This window comes from Homo sapiens, chromosome 2, assembly GCF_000001405.40.
Source record: "Homo sapiens chromosome 2, GRCh38.p14 Primary Assembly".
Classification (NCBI taxonomy): domain Eukaryota; kingdom Metazoa; phylum Chordata; class Mammalia; order Primates; family Hominidae; genus Homo; species Homo sapiens.
The window spans coordinates 190,054,954-190,078,257 of record NC_000002.12 but is presented as its reverse complement, the minus strand read 5'-3'; the positions used below and the strand labels follow the sequence as shown (position 1 = coordinate 190,078,257).

Below are 23,304 nucleotides of genomic sequence, written 5' to 3'. Positions count from 1 at the left end.
CAAATGATGTGATGCACAGAACTGTCCTAGAGGCAGATTTTGGATCACAGTACAGGGAGGACAAAACTAAGAGAAAAGCCATCTTGCTAAGTCAAGGAAACAGATCAGTAATTGGAAACGCTGAGGAGACTAGGTATTGTGGGGCAAAGGGCTGGAGAGGAGGGAGCTATGCAAAGAAAGGCTCTAGAGGTCCCCTTGAATCTGAAATAGGCTGTAAATGAATAGAATGAAAGAAACTTCATGAGCCAGGCAAAGAACTCCTTAAGAACAATAGCTGAACACTTATTTGAGTTCACAATGGGCTCTAAATTCTGAGTAGCCAGAGTAGGAAGACTAGTTGAATACCCAGGGCATTAAAAAACCCTAGAAAGGTCACGCATTAATAATCAGACTAAACTAGTCCCAGAGTAAAAGCTACTGTAGACCAACCCCAGCAAGCTTAAAAGTCAGCCTTTAAAACATTAACTTGATCTACAAGTAACTTAACTCCTTGTCTAAACCAACTTCAACACTCTTCAAAGGAAGACAACAAACTTCAGCTGTACTACAACATAATATTTACAATCCCCTGCACTCAATAAAAAATTACTAGACTTACTAAGGGGAAAAAACAGTCAATAGAAATAGACAAATAAATAAATAAGACATAGATAATGACTGTGCACGGTGGCTCATGCCTGTAATCCCAGCACTTGGGAGGCCGAGGCAGGTGGACCGCTTGAGGCCAGGAGTTCAAGACTAGCCTGACCAACATTAACATTTTAACATTTTTTAAAAAATTTTTAACATGTTAACATGTTAACATGTTAACATTTTAAATGTTTAACATTTTAGCCTGGCCAACATGGCTAAACCCTGTCTGTAAATAAAAACACAAAAAATTAGCCAGGTGTGGTGGCAGGCACCTGTAATCCCAACTACTCGGGAGGCTGAGGCAGGAGAATTGCTTGAATTCAAGAGGCAGAGGTTGCAGTGAGCCAAGATCATGCTACTGCACTCCAGAGTGAGACTTCATCTCAATTAAAAAAAAAAAAGACATAGATAATGGAATTTGCAAAGAACTTTAAAACAGCCACTATAAATATGCTCAAGGTTTTAAAAGAAAATATGAGCATAATAAGGAAAAAAATAGAAGACATAAAAATGAATTGTCTAGAGATGAAATATAATATCTGAAATGAAAATTCACTTGATTAGATTAATAGGCAATTAGATACTGCAGGAAAAAAAAATCAGTTGTACCAGAAGAAATAGCAATGGAAGCTATCAAAACTGAAGTACAGAGAGAAAAAGAGACTGAACAGTAATATTAACATAGCCTGTGTGACTTACAGGACATTAAGTTGTCTAATTAATGTATGTGTCATTACAGTCCCAGAAAATGATGAGGGGAGAAAAATATATGAATAAATAATGGCTGAGCTTTTTCCAAATTTAATGAAAACTATAAACCCCCAAATCCTGAAAACTCAATGAATCCAAAGCAGTATTAACATAGAGAAAATCACATCAAGTCATATCAAATACCACTGCTGAGAATTACTGACAAAGAGAAAATCTTAAAAGTAGCCAAAGAGTAAGACACACTATATACAGGAACAATGATAAGTAATATTGATTTCCTGTCAAAACAATGCAATCTGAAATACAAATAATATCTTTAAAGTGTTTAAAGAAAAATGTTGGCAATATAGAATTCCATATCCAGTGAAATGTCTGAAAATAAGATTAAAATAATGTCTTCTTCAGACAAACAAAAGCTGAGAGGATTTGTTCCCAACAATCCTGAAGTAAAATAAATGCTAAAGGATTTCTTTCAGGCTTAAGGAAAATGTTATCATATAGACACTTCAATCTTTAACAGTGGTTCTCCACTGGGGAGAGCTTGCCCCCCAGAAAACTTTTGGCAATGTTTGAAGGCATTTTTAATGGGCATGAAATGAGGAGAGTTGTTGCTAGCATCCAATAAGTTGAGCCAGGAATGCTGCTAAACACCTTACAATACACAGCATAACCCCCCACAATAAAGAATAATCCAGCCCAAAATGCCAAAGTGTTTATGTTGAAACACTTATCTACACAGGAAATGAAGAGCACTGGAAAATATAGATATATGCATAAATACTTAAGGCTTTTTATAGAAAATTATTTAAGGCAAAAATAACAACAATGCATTAGGGAATTTATAACATAGGTAAAGGTAAAATGTATGATGGCAATCACACACGAAGCAGTAAAATATCATTTGAAGGTAGACTATGATAATTAAAAAATATCTACATAAAAAACAGGCATAGTGAGTAAATCAATAGTGGAGATAAAATGAAATACTAAAAAATAATCTGAAAGAAGATAGAAAAAGAAAAATGGAACAAAGAACAGATGGAACACTAAACTTAAACCAAATCATATTGAAAATTACATTAAATGTAAATAATCTAAAAACTCCAATCAAAAGGCAGAAGTTATAAGACTGAATAAAAAAACAAGACCCAACTACATGTGGTCTACCAAAAAAACCACTTTAAAAATAAAGACACAGGTAGGTTGAAAGTGAATGGATGGGAAAAGATACAACATAAAAACACTAATCCTAAGAAAGCTGGGTGGCTATATTAATGTCAGACAAAGCTGATTTCAGGACAAGGGATATTGCCAGAGATAAAGAAGATGATTTTATAATGATTAGAGTTGATTTAATTCATCATGAAAACATAACAATCCTAAATATGTATGCAAGTAATTATAGAGCTTTAAAATACATTTAAAAACTGACAAATGAAAAGAGAAGTAGCCAGATTCATCATTAGAGTTGGAGCAGATAGAAAATAAGAAAGGCTATATAGAACTTAAACAAACCTGACTTGACATTTAAAGAATCACACATGCAATAACAACTGAACACAAATTATTTTCAAGTGTTCATGAAACATTCACCAAGATAGAACATAAGGTGGGCCATAAAACCATTTTTAATAAATGTAAAATGATATAAATAATACCAACTACATTCTCTGATTACAACAGAAGTTAGAAACCAGTAACAAAAATATATCTGGAAAATATCTGAATATTTGGAAATTAATCATACTTCTAAATAAGTATGGTCAAAAAATAATCACAAGAAAAATTACGAAATATTTTGTATTGTGTGTGACTTAGAAGTTTTCTTTGCCATGTTGGAATTTAAATTTTTTATCTAAATACATTTACCAAGCTATAGTAGAAAAGCTTGGTAAACACGCCTAGCTAATTTTAAATTCATCACGGCAAAGAACCTCAAACAAATTCTGGCACATTTACATGCTTAAGAATGTTTGACACCAACATTTACATCATAGTGTATGATACTCACATTTTCTTCTCATACTTTTCTGGTTTCATTTTTGAGATTTAAATTTTGATAAATATAAAATTGTCCCTGCTTTCATGGAGCTTACGGTTTAGTGGTCAGGGATCCACATGGCTAGTTTTCTGTCCCAATACCATTTATTATATAGTCCATCTACTTAACGGCCTAAGTTAAAATGACACTTTTATCTCTTCTGTAGTTTTCCTATATGATTTGATCTACTTTTGCACTCCTTTTCTCTCTTTTTTTTTTTTGAGACAAAGTCTTTCTCTGTTGCCAGGCTGGAGTGCAGTGGTGTGATATCTCAGCTCACTGCAACTTCCAACTCCCGGGTTTAAGCGAATCTCCTGCTTCAGCCTCCTGAGCAGCTGGGACTAGAGGCACGCGCCACCACGCCCAGCTAATTTTTGTATTTTTAGTAGAGACGGGGTTTCACCATGTTGGCCAGGATGGTCTTGATCTCTTGACCTCATGGTCCACCCGCCTCAGCTTCCCAAAGTGCTGGGATTACAGGTGTGAAGCCACCGCACCTGGCCTTTTCTCTATTTTTAAATTCTTCTTTCAAAACTGTGCATTTTAAATTATTTCACCTTAAAATGTTTTCATATCCATTAGTGATATTCCCCTCTCATTTCTTTTCCTTATAAAAATTTACCTAGCTATTCTGAAATATTTATATTTAAAAATGTATTGATGTTTGAATTGGAAAGTACGTTGCATTTATAAAATAAAGAGAAAGGCATTTTAAATTTGGTTTGGTTTATTTGGGGTTAAGCTCTTAATACACAATGCCTGTGCTCCACACCAGACTAAATCTTTGGTGATGGAGCCTAGATATTCTGCAATTTTTTTTTTTTTTTTTCTGAGACGGAATCTCACTCTGTCATCCAGGCTGAAGTGCAGTGGCACAATCTCGGCTCACTGTAACCTCCGCCTCCCAGGTTCAAGCGATTCAGCCTCCTGAGTAGCTGGGACTACAGGCACGTCTCACCACACCCGGCTAATTTTTGTGTTTTTAGTAGAGATGGGGTTTCACCATGTTAGCCAGGCTGGTCTCAAACTCCTGACCTCAGGTGATCCATCACCTTGGCCTCCCAAAGTGCTGGGATTACAGGCGTGAGCCACCGCACCCGGCCGATATCTGCAGTTTTTTTTTTAACTAAGTGATTGTAATGTACAACCAGGGTAAAGAAACACTGGTCCTATAATATAAAGAAAATATTAAATCTCAAATAATAAATGGAAAGACACACCCTTTTCTTGAATAGGAGGACTCAGTATTGTATGGTAGCTAAAATTTTTCTCTGGGCTTCACACAGGCCTTCAGATTTATTTCTATATTTATTTTTATTAATTATTTTAATTCTAGAAGGGTGGCTTTTAGAGTATTAATATTTTGATTGCGACCCACAGTAAATAACACAACTTCAAAAGGAGACCTGGTATATACACTGATAAAAAAGTTTCCCATAATTCTATTTGCCCTTTACTCTGAGCATGCACTCTATTCTATTCTTACTCTATTTTGTAAAAAATGCTTATATCTAAACACTGTTTTGAAAAATACTGTTCTACATTACCTGTCCATTGAGGATTTGGAAGAATCATCTATAGACTGGCACTTTTCAGAGTATTCCACTTTCTTCCTGGTTGTGTTTTTTTCTGGAAAATCTATATATGTTCATTTCATACAGGTCTTCCAGGTCTTCAAATTTATTTCCATAATACTTTTGCAGTATACTCTTTTAATTCTCTGTCTGTAAACCATTTATCTTTCTCCCTCTGAATTTACAGTATTTGTGCATTCTTTATATTGATAAATTAAGCTAGTGTGTTTTTTCTCTTTAAAAAAGTTATAAATTTATATTATCAATTCGATTACTTTGCTGTTTCTGACTCAATTTATGGTTTTATCTTTTTAGTTTTGTTTTAGCTGTCACTTTAATTTGTAGCCTATTTTATGGTTCATTTTCTAACTTTTTAAGTTAAAGAGTGTGTGATTTTCATACTTTCTTGTTTAGCAATACATATTTGAAGCTATGAATATCTGCTAAACACAGCAGTTGTTTCCTATAAGTTTTGGTATGTAACGTTTTAGCTGTTATTTTGTACACATTCTGTGATAACACTTGTTTCCTCTTTGTACCAAAAGTTGTTTTAAACAATTTTTATATTTCCAAGTAGAAGAAGAGATGTTGATTTTTTATTTTGACTATTCATTTTTGTTTAATTATACTGTGATCAGAGAATATGGTCTGGATTATTTCTAATTTGGGACATTTATTACAATATTTGTCAATTTAGTAAATGTTTCATGGGCTTTAAAAAATAAGATTGATTTTTCATTGTCAGGATATAGCATTCACTACAAATTTTTTTCATCAACCTCATTGACTTAATTGTTCAAATACTTTATATCCTTACTAATTTTCAACTGTTTGATCCATGAAGTGAATTAAAGTCTGCTACTACTATTATTTTTTTTATTTCAACTTTTATTTTAGATTCGGGGGTGCAGGTTTGTTACCTGGGTATATTGTGTGATGCTGAGGTTTTGGGGTATGATTGGTCCCATCATCCAGGTAGTGAGCTTAGTACCCTACAGTTAGTTTTTCAACCCTTGTTTCCCTTCCCCTAGCTTCCTCCCTCCAGTGCTCCCCAGTGTCTATTTTGCTATCTTTATGCTCATGACTACCCAACGTTTAGCTGTCACTTATAAGTAAGAACATGCAGTATTTGTTTTTCTGTACTTGCATTAATTAGCTTAGGATAATGGCCTCCAGCTGCATCCATGTTGCAGCAAAGAACATGATTTCGTTCTTTTTTATGGCTGCATTGCTACTACTGCTTTGTTTCTTACCCTTTCTCCTTGCAGTTCTGCAGTTTTTCTTTATGTATTTTTATTAAATCGTTCCATGCTTTAAGATTTATGAAAGGTATATCTTCTCTGTGGAGTGTTTCCTCTACCATCATAAAATTTCCTTGTCTTGTTTTTACTTTCTGTCTTAAATTCAAACCTGTGACTAATATCATGACTCCAGTTCTTTTTTGTTAGCATTTGTCTGGTATATCTTTTCTGACTTTTTTCTTTCTAGTTTCTTAATCATTTTGTTCTACATCTCCATCTTGTGTACATTATAAACCCATCGTTCACTTTATAAAAGTTTAATTTAGAAATTTTTAATTTTACAAAGATTTATAATACAAATTAATATTAATGATATCAATATTGTTAGATATTACTGGTATTATTATTGACACATTTTCATATTTAATATTTATGAAGCACACAATTCATTGTTGTATGAACATCATATTTAACATGACATTTTCACTGTTGTGTGAACATCATAGAATGTACTTACACAAACCCAGATGGTATAATCTACTGCATAGGTAGGCTGCATAGTATAGCCTATTGCTCCTTGGCTACAAACCACTACTGCATGTTACTGTACTATATTATACCACAGGCAATAGTAACACAATGGCATTTGTATATCTAAACATATAATATAGAAAAGGTACAGTAAAAAATATGGTATAAAAGATAAAAAACGAATAGCTAGAACTACAAGTGTGTGGCACTACAACAAGCTAAATTTTTCACTTTTATTTTTTGTAGAGATGGGGTCTCATTATACTGCCCAAACTGGTCTTGAACTCCTGGCCTCAAGCAATCCTCCTGCCTCGGTCTCTCAAAGCACTGGGATTACAGGTGTGAGCCACCATGTCCAGCCTACTTTCTTTATATCCTTGTTTTATAAGCTTTTTAAAAAAGGTTTTTAAATGTTTTTGTTAAAAACTAAGACACAAACACACACACTAGCCTAGGCCCACACTCAGTTGGGATCATCAAGACATCACTAAGCCGTAGTAATGTTTCAGCTCCGTTATAATCTTCTGGGACCCCCCTCATCTATGTGGTCTGCTGAGATTGTTACGCAGTGCATGACTGTACATTCAATGCTTACCCACAACCAAATAGTGGGTGTTCATAAGTATTTGATGAAAATCTAAGTAAAGGGTCCTTACTATACCATACTTTATCAAGTATTTGAATTTTACCAGTTCTTCCCATCAGATTTCTCCTCTGAGTTTGAATGGAGATTTTTAAAAAATATATTAGATTTCCAGAAAAATTTGTTGTATTACTGGGGACTTAAATTCATGTGTCATCTAAAAATATCCAATATTTAACATAGATTTTGGGTCTTAATCATAGTAATGTCTTACTTACATATTTTATTCAGCCAGATTCTGCAGGTTACCAAAAAAAAAGGGGGGGGGGAGAGAGAGGGAAAATATATCACACTGAACTCGCTGAACTCAAGGTTTAAACTGAAGTTCTTATGACCTTAGAAAAATTGACAGCAGAAGTAATGTAGTTCTTAGAGTTCCCAGCAGGGGCCAGAATGTTCATGCTAAATCTAATTAAATGAAAGTTTTTTTTTTTTTTAAACTATAAGTCAAGGTTGTACCTAGTTCTGAACTAATTAGAAATTCAAAGATATAACTCCTTGTAACTTTCTGTGGTTAAAATAACTAGAAACTACTGACTTTTTAATGTTAAATTTCAAGAATATAGATATATAATTTAAAATATTGAAATTTGAGTTAAGTAATGATGTTATATAACAAAACACTGACCCCAATACCTGAGCAAATGGGCTTCAAAAGTACATTTAGTCAGTAGACATTAAAACTCCTATACTAATTGCCAAAAACAGCTCATTGAATCTTTCAGTTGCCAAGCCGGAACCATGGATAGGGTCCAAGAACAAAGGGCACCACTGTGGCACTGACCCAGGAAATTGAGCGCTGACCTAATTTGTTCATTTTAGAACATTAAAAAAATTCTTAATTCAACATAAAGAAGTTAAAGAAGTACTTGGTGCTTCAAAAGTATTTCACTGTAAATTGCCTTTGCAAATTAAATAAACTGTTCTTCATTTAATTCTAATTTAAATCATATAACCTCTCTCTGGGCCTCAGTTTCTCCATCTCTTTATGAATAGAGTGGATAGAATAACCTTAACATCCTATAGCCCTAAAGTTTTTTATTTCCCTTAGGCAAAAACAGCATCATCTTTTTCTGTGTCCAATTCCTGGCATAGTACCTATCATAAACCAGGTGCACAATAAGGGTTTAATGAACAAATACATGTATAAATGAACAGATGAATATATTTTAAAAATACTTCTTTCTAAGAATTTACAAAAGAATTTGGAAATGGAATGACTCTCTGAAAGCCAATCCTCTGTGAATTATGGAAAACTACGCTTTAGGCAATTCCAAGGAAATAAAACATGAGTCTCCAAGAAAGAACTAAATTTTTCTAAGGCTATTACTACCTTCAAACCACCAATGGAGTAAAGAGAGTTAAGATTTCTAAAAATGGTTTTACAACTATACATTTAAAAATCTAAATCAAAAAAATTATTATTTTTAGATTTAATTGTAAGATTTTTCTCTTGGGGAGTGGTTGGTTACTAGAAACATTAACTTTAAAAATTTTTAAAACTAAAGACAAATTATTTGCCAATTCAATCTATATTGTCAGCTGTTCTGGAAACCTGTGTTTGTTCTAAAGTAAGTGAAAACATCATGCAGAAAACTGGTCATCAAATATAATGAAAATAAATTTATTATTATGCTCAGTTCATACTTCTCCCTACTGGGAGATTGATCTGTCTTTGCCTTGCTCTCTCTCTCTCTCTCTCTCTCTCACACACACACACACACACACACACACACACACACACACATATGCATGCACACACACACCCCTTTTGAGACTTCTTTTCTACCCTCTGGCTACCTTTGAGACTCATTAAACTTAATATGAACCTATGTTGGGGAAGGGATCTAGTCACCTTAAGCAGTGGTGTCATAGCCAGCATGGCAACTCCCTAGTATGGTCCCTGTTAAGAGCCACACGGTGTGAGAAGCCATAGATCTAGGAAGCCCAGATCATTAAATGCAAAAGCTGCACTGGGATACTCAAAGTGCTCAGTGCTCCACTGGAGAACTACTGCAGTGTCAAGAACACAGGGACCTGTGATACTAATCTCTCCTGCCAGTTTCAGGAAGAGGGGAGTCAACAGAAATGCTATGAACTACAGTCAGAACAAACTAAAAACCCTTTCACTTAGAAAGTCTATAAATACACTAACTACACCTTGCCGAGAAGTTGAAAAGTTGGAGTTTCTGGTATTTAAGGAGTTGTTTGTTCATTTAGTGGTTTAATTATTTAAAAAACACTGTTCTGGCCAGGTGCAGTGGCTCACGTCTGTAATCCCAGCACTTTGGGAAGCTGAGGTGGGCGGATGGATGACTTGAGGCCAGGAGTTCGAAACCAGCCTAGCCAACATGGCAAAACGCCGTCTCTACTAAAGATACAAAAAATTAGCCAGGCATGGTGGCACACACCTGTAATCCCAGCTACTCAGGAGGCTGAAGCAGGAGAATCGCTTGAACCCGGGAGGCAGAGGTTGCAGTGAGCCGAGATCCTGCTACTGTACTGCAGCCTGGGTGACAGAGTGAGACTCCATCTCAACAAACAAAGAAAAACACTGTTCTCCCCGTCTAACTATGTGCCAGGTACTAGACCAAGAGCTGAAAAGACAAAAAAGAGCAAAATATTCCCTGCCTTCAAATAGCTCATAGTCTATTTGGGGGATGGAAGGGTAGGGATTAGAGGACAAGTAAGGAAACATTAAAACACAAACATATAAGAATTGTAATAATCGAGGAGGGGACAATCTATACAATTTTAACAGCAAGTCTTTGAGTCTAGTTTGTTTTTTTAGAGAGGGTCTCGCTCTGTCTCACGCCACCGCACCCAGCTAATTTCTGTATTTTTAGCAGAAATGGTGTTTCACCATGTTGGCCAAGCTGGTCTCGAACTTCTGACCTCAAATGATCCAATCTGCCTCAGCCTCCCAAAGTGCTGTGATACAGGCATGAGCCACCGTGCCTGGCCCCTAGTATCTTTTTTTCAATAGAAAAAATGAGGAAGCCAAATTATAACTTCATTTTTATTTTCTATGATAAATTTTAAGCCTATAATAAATAGACTAGAGCTCCCATTTTGGGAAGGAGGGAGAGGAGAAATTGCATTTTGAAGTTTTCCTGAATTAATTCTACTCTTAAAGGACAATGGATTGCAGCAATTTTATTAACTAGGACATTATTATGAGGATTGCCAGAGTATGAATACAGTCACCTCAAGACCTTCTGAAGACCATCTACAAGAAATCCCTTAAGACTACTAATTTCAGTCTATACCCTAGAACTGACAAATATTTTGCAAATGACCTCTAGATTGCCTGCAAGTTTGTAGTTGGTGATTACAATAATATTTACATTTCTGCTTTTTGTAATAATTATGTACTATTAAATAAACAATGTTTTAAAATTACCATGTTTGATGTCTCATTAAAAGCAACGCTACAGGTATTGGGAGGAGGGGACTGTAAGTTAAAGGGGGAAGTATTCAATTGAAGTAGTGTAAAAAGTACTACTTTGGGCATATGGTTCTCCAAGTACAGTCTGGGGATCACTGGGGTGCTTCCCAAGTCTCTTCCAGAGAGTCTATGAAATAAAAACTGTTTTCATAATAATACTAAGATGTTTTTTGCCTTTCTCACACTCATTCTTTCTTATGTGTACAATAGTTTTCCAGAGGCCCCATAATGTATGAAGACATCATGACTCTGTCAGCAAATAAAATGCATGCTTGAATATGCCTGCACATGACAATTTGTTTTAATATATATGTGTTAAATATTAATGATATAACTGACACAAAAAAAGATTTGGGGGATTCTAAATAGTTTTTGAGAGTATAAACAAATCCTGAGACCCAAAATTTTGAGAATCACTGCTTTAGGGGATAAACCTCAATGGAAAGGGCACACCTAATCAAATTTATTCATATTTCATATGAAGAAACTAGTCCATAGGTTTCCTGAAGACAGTGATTGTGTCTGTCTGGCTCGCTGTTTTATCCTCAGAATCTAGCATAGTGCCAGGTACAAAATAGGCATTCAAATATTTCATAAACTAATACATGAATTCACACATACATACATTTATAAATGAAGGGTTTGCTAACTGACTTATTCAAGGTTACATAAAACATCAACAGTAAAGCCAGAACTATATTTTGGGTCTCCTGCCTTCTATTCCCATATTCATGCTACCTAGCTTAAGAATATTTTTTGTTTTTGTTAATTTTTGTCTTCTAACTATCAAAAGCATGGGTAATCAGTTATCATCAATGTGGGATGATTATCTTCTCATGATGTTAAGTGAGTTGAGTACTATGCAGATTTTTTCTGGCTCTAAGAATAATCAGCATAAAGTAATACCAAACAGCTGTAAACACAAGTTAATGACAAGAGGTATCAGATAAAACTTTCTGAGTTTTTGCCCAAAACTGTTGAATTTTTCATGATTCATTCTTGTGCTAATTCCTAATCTCATCGTCCTCCTTTTCTTGGCCATGATCATTAAACTTCCGGCAAGTCTTTACATTAGTACACTCAGTAGATCTCACACTGGAAAAATAAAACCGTAATTTTTTTTTGGAAAATATTGTTTATACCCTCAACATTGTTTTGAGACAACCAGTGAGTATTTGTAACAGAGATGAGAGAGTTTCGCTTGCCACCTTACTGACGGTTACAGAAAATGTGAGGCCCACAACAGTCTACCTAGTACAAAGACGAACCATACCAGTCTTGTGAGATACTGCCTTAACTACCTAAATTCTGACTCCTGTGAGAAGCTGCTTTTAGAGATGGCTAACTTAAGACAAAACCAACAAGCTGATAGACGCAGCTCTCCCAGTTAACTAGGAGGAATTCTTCTCTACCCACTCACCCTAATGATGCAGTACTGTCCTGTCTCCTTGGTGATAAGAACTGCCAGAACTGGGTCTCCAGCAGTCAGACTACATTGAAGTTTCCTATAGCTGGTGAGCCCTTCTATTCTGGGGCCTCAGGAAGGTTGCAATCACTGCCACTGGAGAAGGAATAAAACTTACTTAAATTTCTTCAGTTCTTCTTCACCCATTCAATACTGTTCTCTAGAGAAGTTGATTAGATATAGTCAATTCTCCCTATTCATAGTAGTTATGTTCTATAAAGTCATTGCCAACACTGAGTTAGCAAATATTGAACTATTGTTCCCAGGGGAAAAACAGGGTTAGTTGAGCCTCTGGTCATAACATTTACATCACCCAATCAATATATAACCTTGTTTTATGTATGTTTTTGTTTACAAATACATTATTTAATATATATTGTTCATTCATTAACACTGAACTCACAGCCAGCAGCACTATAACTCAGGCCTGAATGATGCTTATCTAGCACATGCATTTTTTCATGAGAACTTTTTTCCCTTAGGCATATCACAGCCTTTTAAAATTGTGGTAAATATACACAACATTTAGCATCTTAACCATTTTTAGGTGTACAGTTCGGTGGCATTAAGCACATTCACACTGTTGTGTAACCATCACCACCATTCATCTTCAGAAATTTTTCATCTTCCCAGACTGAAACTCTGTATCTATCACACAGTAACTACCCCTCAGTGCCTCACCCAGTCCCTGGCAACCACCATGCTACTTTCCATTGCAGCTTTCCTGTGATTAGGAACATAGGAACACCACGCAGCACGTCAGCACTATGCTTGGGGGCCATTTTTAAAAAGCAAAATCAATAAGAGGAGCAATAAAAAAAGAAGCACAAAATATGTGAAAACATGGCACTAAATAGACGGGAAAAAGGGAATTTGTTTATAGTATGAGAGCTGAAACAAAAAGGCGGAACCCTGCCTTGTTTGACCTCATCTGGGAACCTGTGCGTCAGATAGGACTCAAATTTTTTGCCGCTCTGTGAATGCCAGCGAATGACTGAAAAATGCTAGGAATATTGAGTTTCATAGATAAATTTTAGCAAGTAGGCAAATTTGTGAATACAGAAATCATGAATAATAAGAATTGTCTGTTAGCGGAAATGACAACCTTTGTTCACTTTTTTCCAGGTGATAAGAATAAAGAGCTGGAACATGTCTTGTAACCTGGCTGCCTTAGAAAATTTTACTTGCCTCACAGGCCTAGAAAGTAGGCTTTGTGACTGATAATTGGCAGCTATGACCTGAAGCAGTTCTAGTTCATGTGGAGCATAATTTTAAGCATAATCTCAAACCCTTCTGCATAAAACAAAGAGCAAGCACTCAAATGCCAGTTATCAATTACTTACTATATGACAGGTGCCATATTCAGCAATTTACATGCATTATTAAATTATATCCCCCCAAAACCCTATGAGGAAGCTAAAGTTTAGGGAAGTTAAGTATCTCATCCATTATCACATAGTTAGAAGTGGCAAAGTTGAGATTTGAACTCAGGTCTATCTGACTCCAGAGCCTGAGTTCTCAATTCAACTGCTATACAATTCTAAGCATATTAAAAAAAAAGTTTGACTTACTTGGAACTGTATAGATGCATGTGTTACAATGATCATAACATTTGAAAGATTTACACATTGAAAAATGAATTTACCAAACAAATAAAACCTTAGAAGCCAGATCTAATATTGTCCCATAACAAAGAGTATCTGAAATCCTCAGGGCATCTGGTTTGTGTCTGGTTTTCCTTAATCTTTAATGATGAGCAAATCCAATGCATTATGTAAGGCCATTTTTTTCTCAAGAGATGTAGATACCTCTTAAGAATTTGATGAAAATGCATTAACTTTTCAGGCTACTGAGTTGCATTTTAGTGCACCGAGGCAGTAAATTAGTGTACAGTGTGCAAAAATGGTAGTGACTTTAAAAATAAATATTTGATATGAGCCACTGTATTCTCTTGGAAAAAAAAAGTAATGGACTAAATCTCTTAGGAATCCTTAGCTTCCCAAAAAGGAGTAGGAAAAAGAAATCTCCTTTGGCCTAGAAATATCTTCTGTTTCTTGCTGGCTATGTTTGCTTAGCTCTTTAATAGTTCATTTGACTAGATCTTGTGGCTCCCAAAGCTAAGGTTGAACGTTTGATCCCTACAGAGGCCACTTAAATTTAGAGAACAAAAAGCTCTATTCTCTGCTCCCAGACTTTACCCCAAATCCCTGCCAGGTGTCTGCCCTCTGGTCAAAATGAGAAATTGGCAAAGGGGTGCAAACATATCGCAGTATTGGGAAACAACAAAAGGTCACCCCTTTATCATGATGCTCTTTCTCTTTTATGTGCTCATAATATTCTGATATAATTTATAGAGAATAGATACTGCACTTTTTACTCTCTGGATATTTACTGCTGGAAATCTGAGGCAAACTGTAATAATCTCTGCCATGCCAGTTATAAAATTCATTATCTTAGTCTATGTTCAGAGATTTTTCTACTAGCTGGCATTACCCTCTTGGTAATAAACAATGAAAAACACATCTTCTGAGTTATGTTAATCTGCATCTTTAGAATAGGAAATAATAGCACTCAGTCAAAAGTTCAGTATAATTTTCATATTAATAAAAGACATGAAACTATGTAAAAATAATTCCATGCACAATATGTTATAATAACAATGACTTCCAATATTTACTAAGAATTTAGTCAGAAAACAAGTTTCTCAAATTATAGATGAAAATTCTCAACTAGTATCATAATCTTAACTTTTAATTCAGGTCTTCCTAATTTTTATTTTCCTAATTACTTGGCACTAAAAATAATTTAATACAACAAATAAAAATATTTTCTACTTCAAATACTTGCCTAAACAATATAAAATCATTTTAGTTTTTGAGGAAGTAATATTTCATATTTTAAATATGTAGTATAAATTAAAATTGACTTATTTAAATTACAATAAGAGTTGTGTGAGGATTAGTAAGATTTAAGTACAGTTTATATTATTGCCAACATAGACTTTTGTTTTTCAAATGTCACAAATATCTTTTATTATTTGTAGATTTATTTCTTTTATGAAGTAGTCAAATGAATCAGCTCACCCTTGACTGTAACAAAATACTGCTTGGTGACTTGGGACAGACAGGGTTTTAACCTCTGACAGCGAGATTCATTGTGGAGCAAGAGCCAATCATAGATCCTGACGACACTTGTCTCATCTAAGTTGGAATATAAAAAGCCACTTGGAATACAGTATAAAAGATTCACTGGTGTGGCAAGTTGTCTCTCAGACTGTACATGCATTAAAATTTTGCTTGGCATTACTCAAAAGCAAAAGAAAAGTAAAAGGAAGAAACAAGAACAAGAAAAAAGATTATATTGATTTTAAAATCATGCAAAAACTGCAACTCTGTGTTTATATTTACCTGTTTATGCTGATTGTTGCTGGTCCAGTGGATCTAAATGAGAACAGTGAGCAAAAAGAAAATGTGGAAAAAGAGGGGCTGTGTAATGCATGTACTTGGAGACAAAACACTAAATCTTCAAGAATAGAAGCCATTAAGATACAAATCCTCAGTAAACTTCGTCTGGAAACAGCTCCTAACATCAGCAAAGATGTTATAAGACAACTTTTACCCAAAGCTCCTCCACTCCGGGAACTGATTGATCAGTATGATGTCCAGAGGGATGACAGCAGCGATGGCTCTTTGGAAGATGACGATTATCACGCTACAACGGAAACAATCATTACCATGCCTACAGAGTGTAAGTAGTCCTATTAGTGTATATCAACAGTTCTGCTGACTGTTGTTCTAGTGTTTATGAGAAACAGATCTATTTTCAGGCTCTTTTAAACAAGCTGTTGGCCTGTATGTAAGTAGAAAGGAAAAGAGTTTCTCTTTTTCAAGATTGCATGAGAATATATTAATGAGACAAAAATCTGCTGCATTATTTGTTTTCTTATAGAGACAAAAAACTAAAAAATAAAGTACTTGCATAGCATTAATTTAATAAGGCAAATATAGATAGCATGCTTATGCTTTCACAATAATACCACCAAGGCAAGGACTGGGAGATACTACAAGCAGTGTTTAAAACTTACATTAGATTTTAGAATTGTATTTAGTTGTGTAAAATAAGTTTTTTTCACTAATAACAGAAAAAAAAAAAGAAACTTGCTGGATGTTTAAGCTTACTTGAGCACTGCTGAAAACCTCAAGTGATTTCTGTTATTTGAAACTCTCTCAGTAATTTTTTTGTTCTTCACAGTTAAAAATTTAATTTTGAGAGCTATTACACTGAAGAATATGCAAAAATTAAATATCTTAATGTGTTAGTAAGAACAATAATGAAGTAAACATAGCATAATAATCATCATGAACTAAATATTAGAAAATGCCTAAGAAATAAACATTTTAATTGGGTAGGTTATGGCTCACAAAGTCCTCCTTGTACCTTGACCATAGTACTATTATTGAGAGTACCCAGTTTGTGTACTTCCAAGCAGGCACAGTGCTTAATAACCTTCTAAAATATTTTATTCTTCCTGAGAGGGAGGGCTTTTACCTGTAGTATCTACACTGCTTCTGACAGATAACATATTTCATACAATTCCTTTTGCAGTCAGCTCAAAAGAATACTTTCTCCAGGAAAGAGAAACAGGCACCTTGACAGAGAAGGCATGGCAAGAAAAATTTTGTGTTACCTGTTATCTTGCTTTAATACAATGCTTTATATACTTTAAACAAGACTCCAAACAGTTTTAAAATATTATTTCCCTTATTAAGTAATCAGGTTACAATGCAGCAAAGAATTTCCATTTAAGACTCTGCTATCAAATAGGTCTGGAGCAGATTTACCTTTTATAGACAATTTTGGAAAACCAAAATAAAAGAAATTGTTAGTGCTTGTGCTTACATGACAGCCTGGCCCTAAAGACAATACTTTCGAACTTTTCAGATAGCCTGAATATAACATCAAAATTTTTGTGTTAATTATCTGCTTAGTTTTGCTCCTTTAAAAGGTTATTCCAAAGCCAAAATGTAACAGATGTACTGTGTTTTCTACTAATTCCTGAGGCTCAGTAAGTTGCTCAGTGTGTCTTGTCCCCAGGTAATTCAGGCCTGGGGGAAGGGTTCCTTCTTCCAGACTGATTGGTACAGCTGCTCAGTAAGTGTAACTACTCAGATTCCCAAAGAATTCTAAGTGGTTGTTCCTCCACAGTGTCTCTTGTTCTCTCTAATCATCATCATTTTAAAATTTCATTCAGCGTTCATTACTTCATAGAACCTTCCTTTGTCCATAGTTCTCTGGAAGGGGAATAGATTCCTGATGAACAGCTGAAAATACATACGTCTGAAAAATTCTGAAAAGCTAGGGTAATTATTTTCTTTGACATTTTTTTGAGTTATAAAGTTCCACACGGTATTTCATTTTAAAAGACTGCATAGGCATACATTATCTTAATTTAAAAAAATGCTCAACTATTAATATGGAGGGGTTTTGTTAATGGGAAATAATTTCAGCAACTTTTCTTTTCTTATTCATTTATAGCTGATTTTCTAATGCAAGTGGATGGAAAACCCAAATGTTGCTTCTTTAAATTTAGCTCTAAAATACAATACAATAAAGTAGTAAAGGCCCAACTATGGATATATTTGAGACCCGTCGAGACTCCTACAACAGTGTTTGTGCAAATCCTGAGACTCATCAAACCTATGAAAGACGGTACAAGGTATACTGGAATCCGATCTCTGAAACTTGACATGAACCCAGGCACTGGTATTTGGCAGAGCATTGATGTGAAGACAGTGTTGCAAAATTGGCTCAAACAACCTGAATCCAACTTAGGCATTGAAATAAAAGCTTTAGATGAGAATGGTCATGATCTTGCTGTAACCTTCCCAGGACCAGGAGAAGATGGGCTGGTAAGTGATAACTGAAAATAACATTATAATAACCTTATGTTTTTATTCATAATATGAACAAACAATAGTGGAAAATAGCTACAAATTCCCTAAGCTCATAAGCTAGACAAAGGTATCTTACCCCAACGGTAGCCCTGTACCCAATAAAAGTAGGTGTCCAATTTCATATCCTATGAAACACTCCCTTGATACTCTTACTTTGCATCAAGATTTTAGAAAACAATTATACCATACTTCTTAACTTCTTAAGAAGTCCTTTTGAATTGGGAATGAAATATAAAGTGCTTTTCATTAATATGATACATGACTGTATGTATTAAAATATTAACTCTATATAGTGGATTTTACCACATAAACCAACAAATCCAAACATTATTTTTTTCTCCCAGAAGGGTGCCAAATGTGTTAAAGATTTTTGGCTTAGCATAAAACAGATAAACCTTTTAAAATTATAATTAAATGTTTTATTCAGAGAAATTAAGAGTGATATTTATAGGCTTATACTTTATTAAATATATTTAAGGTTTCTCAAGATAAATATGTTCATTATTTGTAGGATGTTGATGCACTGATGTGTGTATATATTTCTTTGTGGAATACTCCTAATAAAATTTCAAGTTACATACTAGTTAACCTTTGCCACCTAGCTTATTTCTGAGCTGCCTTAGCATTCTTGTGCAAAAATTTACTCAGGGAAGGCCGACTAATTTAGTACCAGGCCAAGTAAATGACAATACCTTATATATCACAAAAATTAATAAAAACCATTTTAATTCCTAGTACAAATTTAGGGTTACTCTTCTGGCTTACCTAAATTTCTGTTTTCAAATACTTAATGTGATCACATCTTTTTACGTTCATCTATTGATATAATTTACAAAAGAAGATTATACTTGTAAACAACAAACCTGTTACCTTTGTAATCATTCAATGATCTTAGTTATAAAGATGATATAATTAGCAGATCAGATCTACTCTAAATAAAACATTCTTTAAAATACTATACAATATTTTTTCATTTTTATTACTTTATTATATATATGTGTATATATATATTTATACACACACACACATGTTTTACTTCAATATGTTGGGGGGTACAAGTGGTTTCTGGCTACATAGATGAATTGTACAGTGGTGAAGTCTGAGGTTTTAGTGCACCCATCACTCCAAGTAGTGTATATTGTACCAAATATGTAGTTTTTAATCCCTCATCCCTTTCTGAGTCTCCGAAGTACCTTATACTACTCTGTATGTCTTTGCGTACGCATAGCTTAGCTCGCACTTGTAAGTAAGAACGTATGGTATTTGGTTTTCCATTCCCTTCGAATAATGGCCTCCAGCTCCATCTAATTTGCTGCAAAAGACATTCCTTTACTCTTTTTTATGGTTAAATAGTATTCCATGGTGTATATATACCACATTTTCTTTATCCATTCATCCGCTGATGGGCACTTAGGCTGGTTCCATATCTTTACAACTGTGAATTATGCTGCGATAAACATACGTGTGCAGGTGTCTAAAAGACTATACAATTTTCTAAATGATCTAGTTTCCTTTATATATGCTACTTTAAATGTTAATGACTCCCAAAATGATATTATTATTTTTGACAGTCTTAAATAACACTGCCAGAGCTATTTTCATTTAGATATGGGTTAAAAACTACTGTCAATTATTTAAGAAAGTGTTCCTTTTTATAGGTAGAATTTTAATGATCAAAATTGATAATATGTCCAGTGGTTAATATGTTGTGTTCCTCAGATTTTTTCATGTAAAGGGAAACAAAGTCTCAAATGCATTAAAAGATTGGGGCAGAGACAGAATCAACAAATTTTTAAATACCTGAATAGAAACATTTTCCAGTGAAAGAATAAAGGAAATATCATCGTCTCTTCTTCTGAATTTGTCCTTCCCTATTTTGCCCTGGTTTTATTGTCCAAGTTTTCCTGAGTGAGGAGGATGGATGACTATACCTAACCCTCCAGGAGTTACCAGGCATATTTAGCCAACATATTTAATCAGGAAGCAAGAAGAGAGGGAGCTGTTAGCTCTTTCCTTCATTCCCCACTTCTTCTTCTCCTCTCTCTCTCCTTTCTTCCTTCCCTCCCTTTCTTCCCATAAATATTTTCAGGACATCCATTATGTGCCAGGCAATCTGGTACTCAAACTTGGAAAAATAAAACTTAAAAAGACATGGTACTGACCTTAGGGGAATTTGTATTGCTGTTAAATTCTTTTGAGACATAAGGGGAAAATCAAGCCTAGTGTAAATTAACATTCCTTAATGCTGTGCCTTTTAAAAATAAATGTGGTATGAGCAAAATTATTAGTTTATTACTTCAACAATAACTTCTTAAGGTAGGTAGAAAAGTGTTTCCAGGCCTATTGATATTACTGATTGTTCTTTCCTTTTCAAACAGAATCCGTTTTTAGAGGTCAAGGTAACAGACACACCAAAAAGATCCAGAAGGGATTTTGGTCTTGACTGTGATGAGCACTCAACAGAATCACGATGCTGTCGTTACCCTCTAACTGTGGATTTTGAAGCTTTTGGATGGGATTGGATTATCGCTCCTAAAAGATATAAGGCCAATTACTGCTCTGGAGAGTGTGAATTTGTATTTTTACAAAAATATCCTCATACTCATCTGGTACACCAAGCAAACCCCAGAGGTTCAGCAGGCCCTTGCTGTACTCCCACAAAGATGTCTCCAATTAATATGCTATATTTTAATGGCAAAGAACAAATAATATATGGGAAAATTCCAGCGATGGTAGTAGACCGCTGTGGGTGCTCATGAGATTTATATTAAGCGTTCATAACTTCCTAAAACATGGAAGGTTTTCCCCTCAACAATTTTGAAGCTGTGAAATTAAGTACCACAGGCTATAGGCCTAGAGTATGCTACAGTCACTTAAGCATAAGCTACAGTATGTAAACTAAAAGGGGGAATATATGCAATGGTTGGCATTTAACCATCCAAACAAATCATACAAGAAAGTTTTATGATTTCCAGAGTTTTTGAGCTAGAAGGAGATCAAATTACATTTATGTTCCTATATATTACAACATCGGCGAGGAAATGAAAGCGATTCTCCTTGAGTTCTGATGAATTAAAGGAGTATGCTTTAAAGTCTATTTCTTTAAAGTTTTGTTTAATATTTACAGAAAAATCCACATACAGTATTGGTAAAATGCAGGATTGTTATATACCATCATTCGAATCATCCTTAAACACTTGAATTTATATTGTATGGTAGTATACTTGGTAAGATAAAATTCCACAAAAATAGGGATGGTGCAGCATATGCAATTTCCATTCCTATTATAATTGACACAGTACATTAACAATCCATGCCAACGGTGCTAATACGATAGGCTGAATGTCTGAGGCTACCAGGTTTATCACATAAAAAACATTCAGTAAAATAGTAAGTTTCTCTTTTCTTCAGGTGCATTTTCCTACACCTCCAAATGAGGAATGGATTTTCTTTAATGTAAGAAGAATCATTTTTCTAGAGGTTGGCTTTCAATTCTGTAGCATACTTGGAGAAACTGCATTATCTTAAAAGGCAGTCAAATGGTGTTTGTTTTTATCAAAATGTCAAAATAACATACTTGGAGAAGTATGTAATTTTGTCTTTGGAAAATTACAACACTGCCTTTGCAACACTGCAGTTTTTATGGTAAAATAATAGAAATGATCGACTCTATCAATATTGTATAAAAAGACTGAAACAATGCATTTATATAATATGTATACAATATTGTTTTGTAAATAAGTGTCTCCTTTTTTATTTACTTTGGTATATTTTTACACTAAGGACATTTCAAATTAAGTACTAAGGCACAAAGACATGTCATGCATCACAGAAAAGCAACTACTTATATTTCAGAGCAAATTAGCAGATTAAATAGTGGTCTTAAAACTCCATATGTTAATGATTAGATGGTTATATTACAATCATTTTATATTTTTTTACATGATTAACATTCACTTATGGATTCATGATGGCTGTATAAAGTGAATTTGAAATTTCAATGGTTTACTGTCATTGTGTTTAAATCTCAACGTTCCATTATTTTAATACTTGCAAAAACATTACTAAGTATACCAAAATAATTGACTCTATTATCTGAAATGAAGAATAAACTGATGCTATCTCAACAATAACTGTTACTTTTATTTTATAATTTGATAATGAATATATTTCTGCATTTATTTACTTCTGTTTTGTAAATTGGGATTTTGTTAATCAAATTTATTGTACTATGACTAAATGAAATTATTTCTTACATCTAATTTGTAGAAACAGTATAAGTTATATTAAAGTGTTTTCACATTTTTTTGAAAGACACAACAGTTTTTATTCTAATGATTAATTCTGGATTTCTGATTTTCACTTTATTATAAAAGTCTAATTGTTTAGCACAAAAGTTTGGTTGAGGAATTTTAGGTCTGCTACTCCGGTTCTCAGGAGTTAAATTCCTATTAAATTGGTCCTGGTCAAGTTGCTTTACACATACGAAAGCAAGGAGTAGTTATATCTGTTTCATTTCTCTTTTTTTTATTTTTTTATTATACTTTAAGTTTTAGGGTACATGTGCACAACGTGCAGGTTTGTTACATATGTATACATGTGCCATGTTGGTGTGCTGCACCGAGTAACTTGTCATTTAACATTAGGTATGTCTCCAAATGCTATCCCTCCCCCCTCCCCCCACCCCACAACAGGCCCCGGTGTGTGATGTTCCCCTTCCTGTGTCCATGTGTTCTCATTGTTCAATTCCCACCTATGAGTGAGAATATGTGGTGTTTGGTTTTTTTGTCCTTGTGATAGTTTGCTGAGAATGATGGTTTCCAGCTTCATCCATGTCCCTACAAAGGACATGAACTCATCATTTTGTATGGCTGCATAGTATTCCATGGTGTATATGTGCCACATTTTCTTAATCCAGTCTATCATTGTTGGACATTTGGCTTGGTTCCAAGTCTTTGCTATTGTGAATAGTGCTGCAATAAACATATGTGTGCATGTGTCTTTATAGCAGCATGATTTATAGTCCTTTGGGTACACACCCAGTAATGGGATTGCTGGATCAA

The 23,304-nt window shown here is 34.4% G+C and overlaps 2 protein-coding genes across 3 annotated transcripts in view; one reads left to right on the top strand and one right to left on the bottom strand.

The window, feature by feature from the left end:
* AKAP19 (A-kinase anchoring protein 19) overlaps positions 1-23,304 on the bottom strand; it is a 323,923-nt gene that overhangs the window by 125,227 nt on the left and 175,392 nt on the right. The gene's annotated exons all lie outside the window — the stretch shown is intronic.
* On the top strand, positions 15,529-22,558 carry MSTN (myostatin). The gene is made up of 3 exons (NM_005259.3): positions 15,529-16,034; positions 17,823-18,196; positions 20,620-22,558. Exons 1-3 carry the CDS (start codon positions 15,662-15,664, stop codon positions 20,998-21,000), a joined length of 1,128 nt encoding a protein of 375 aa, NP_005250.1. The 5' UTR covers positions 15,529-15,661; the 3' UTR covers positions 21,001-22,558.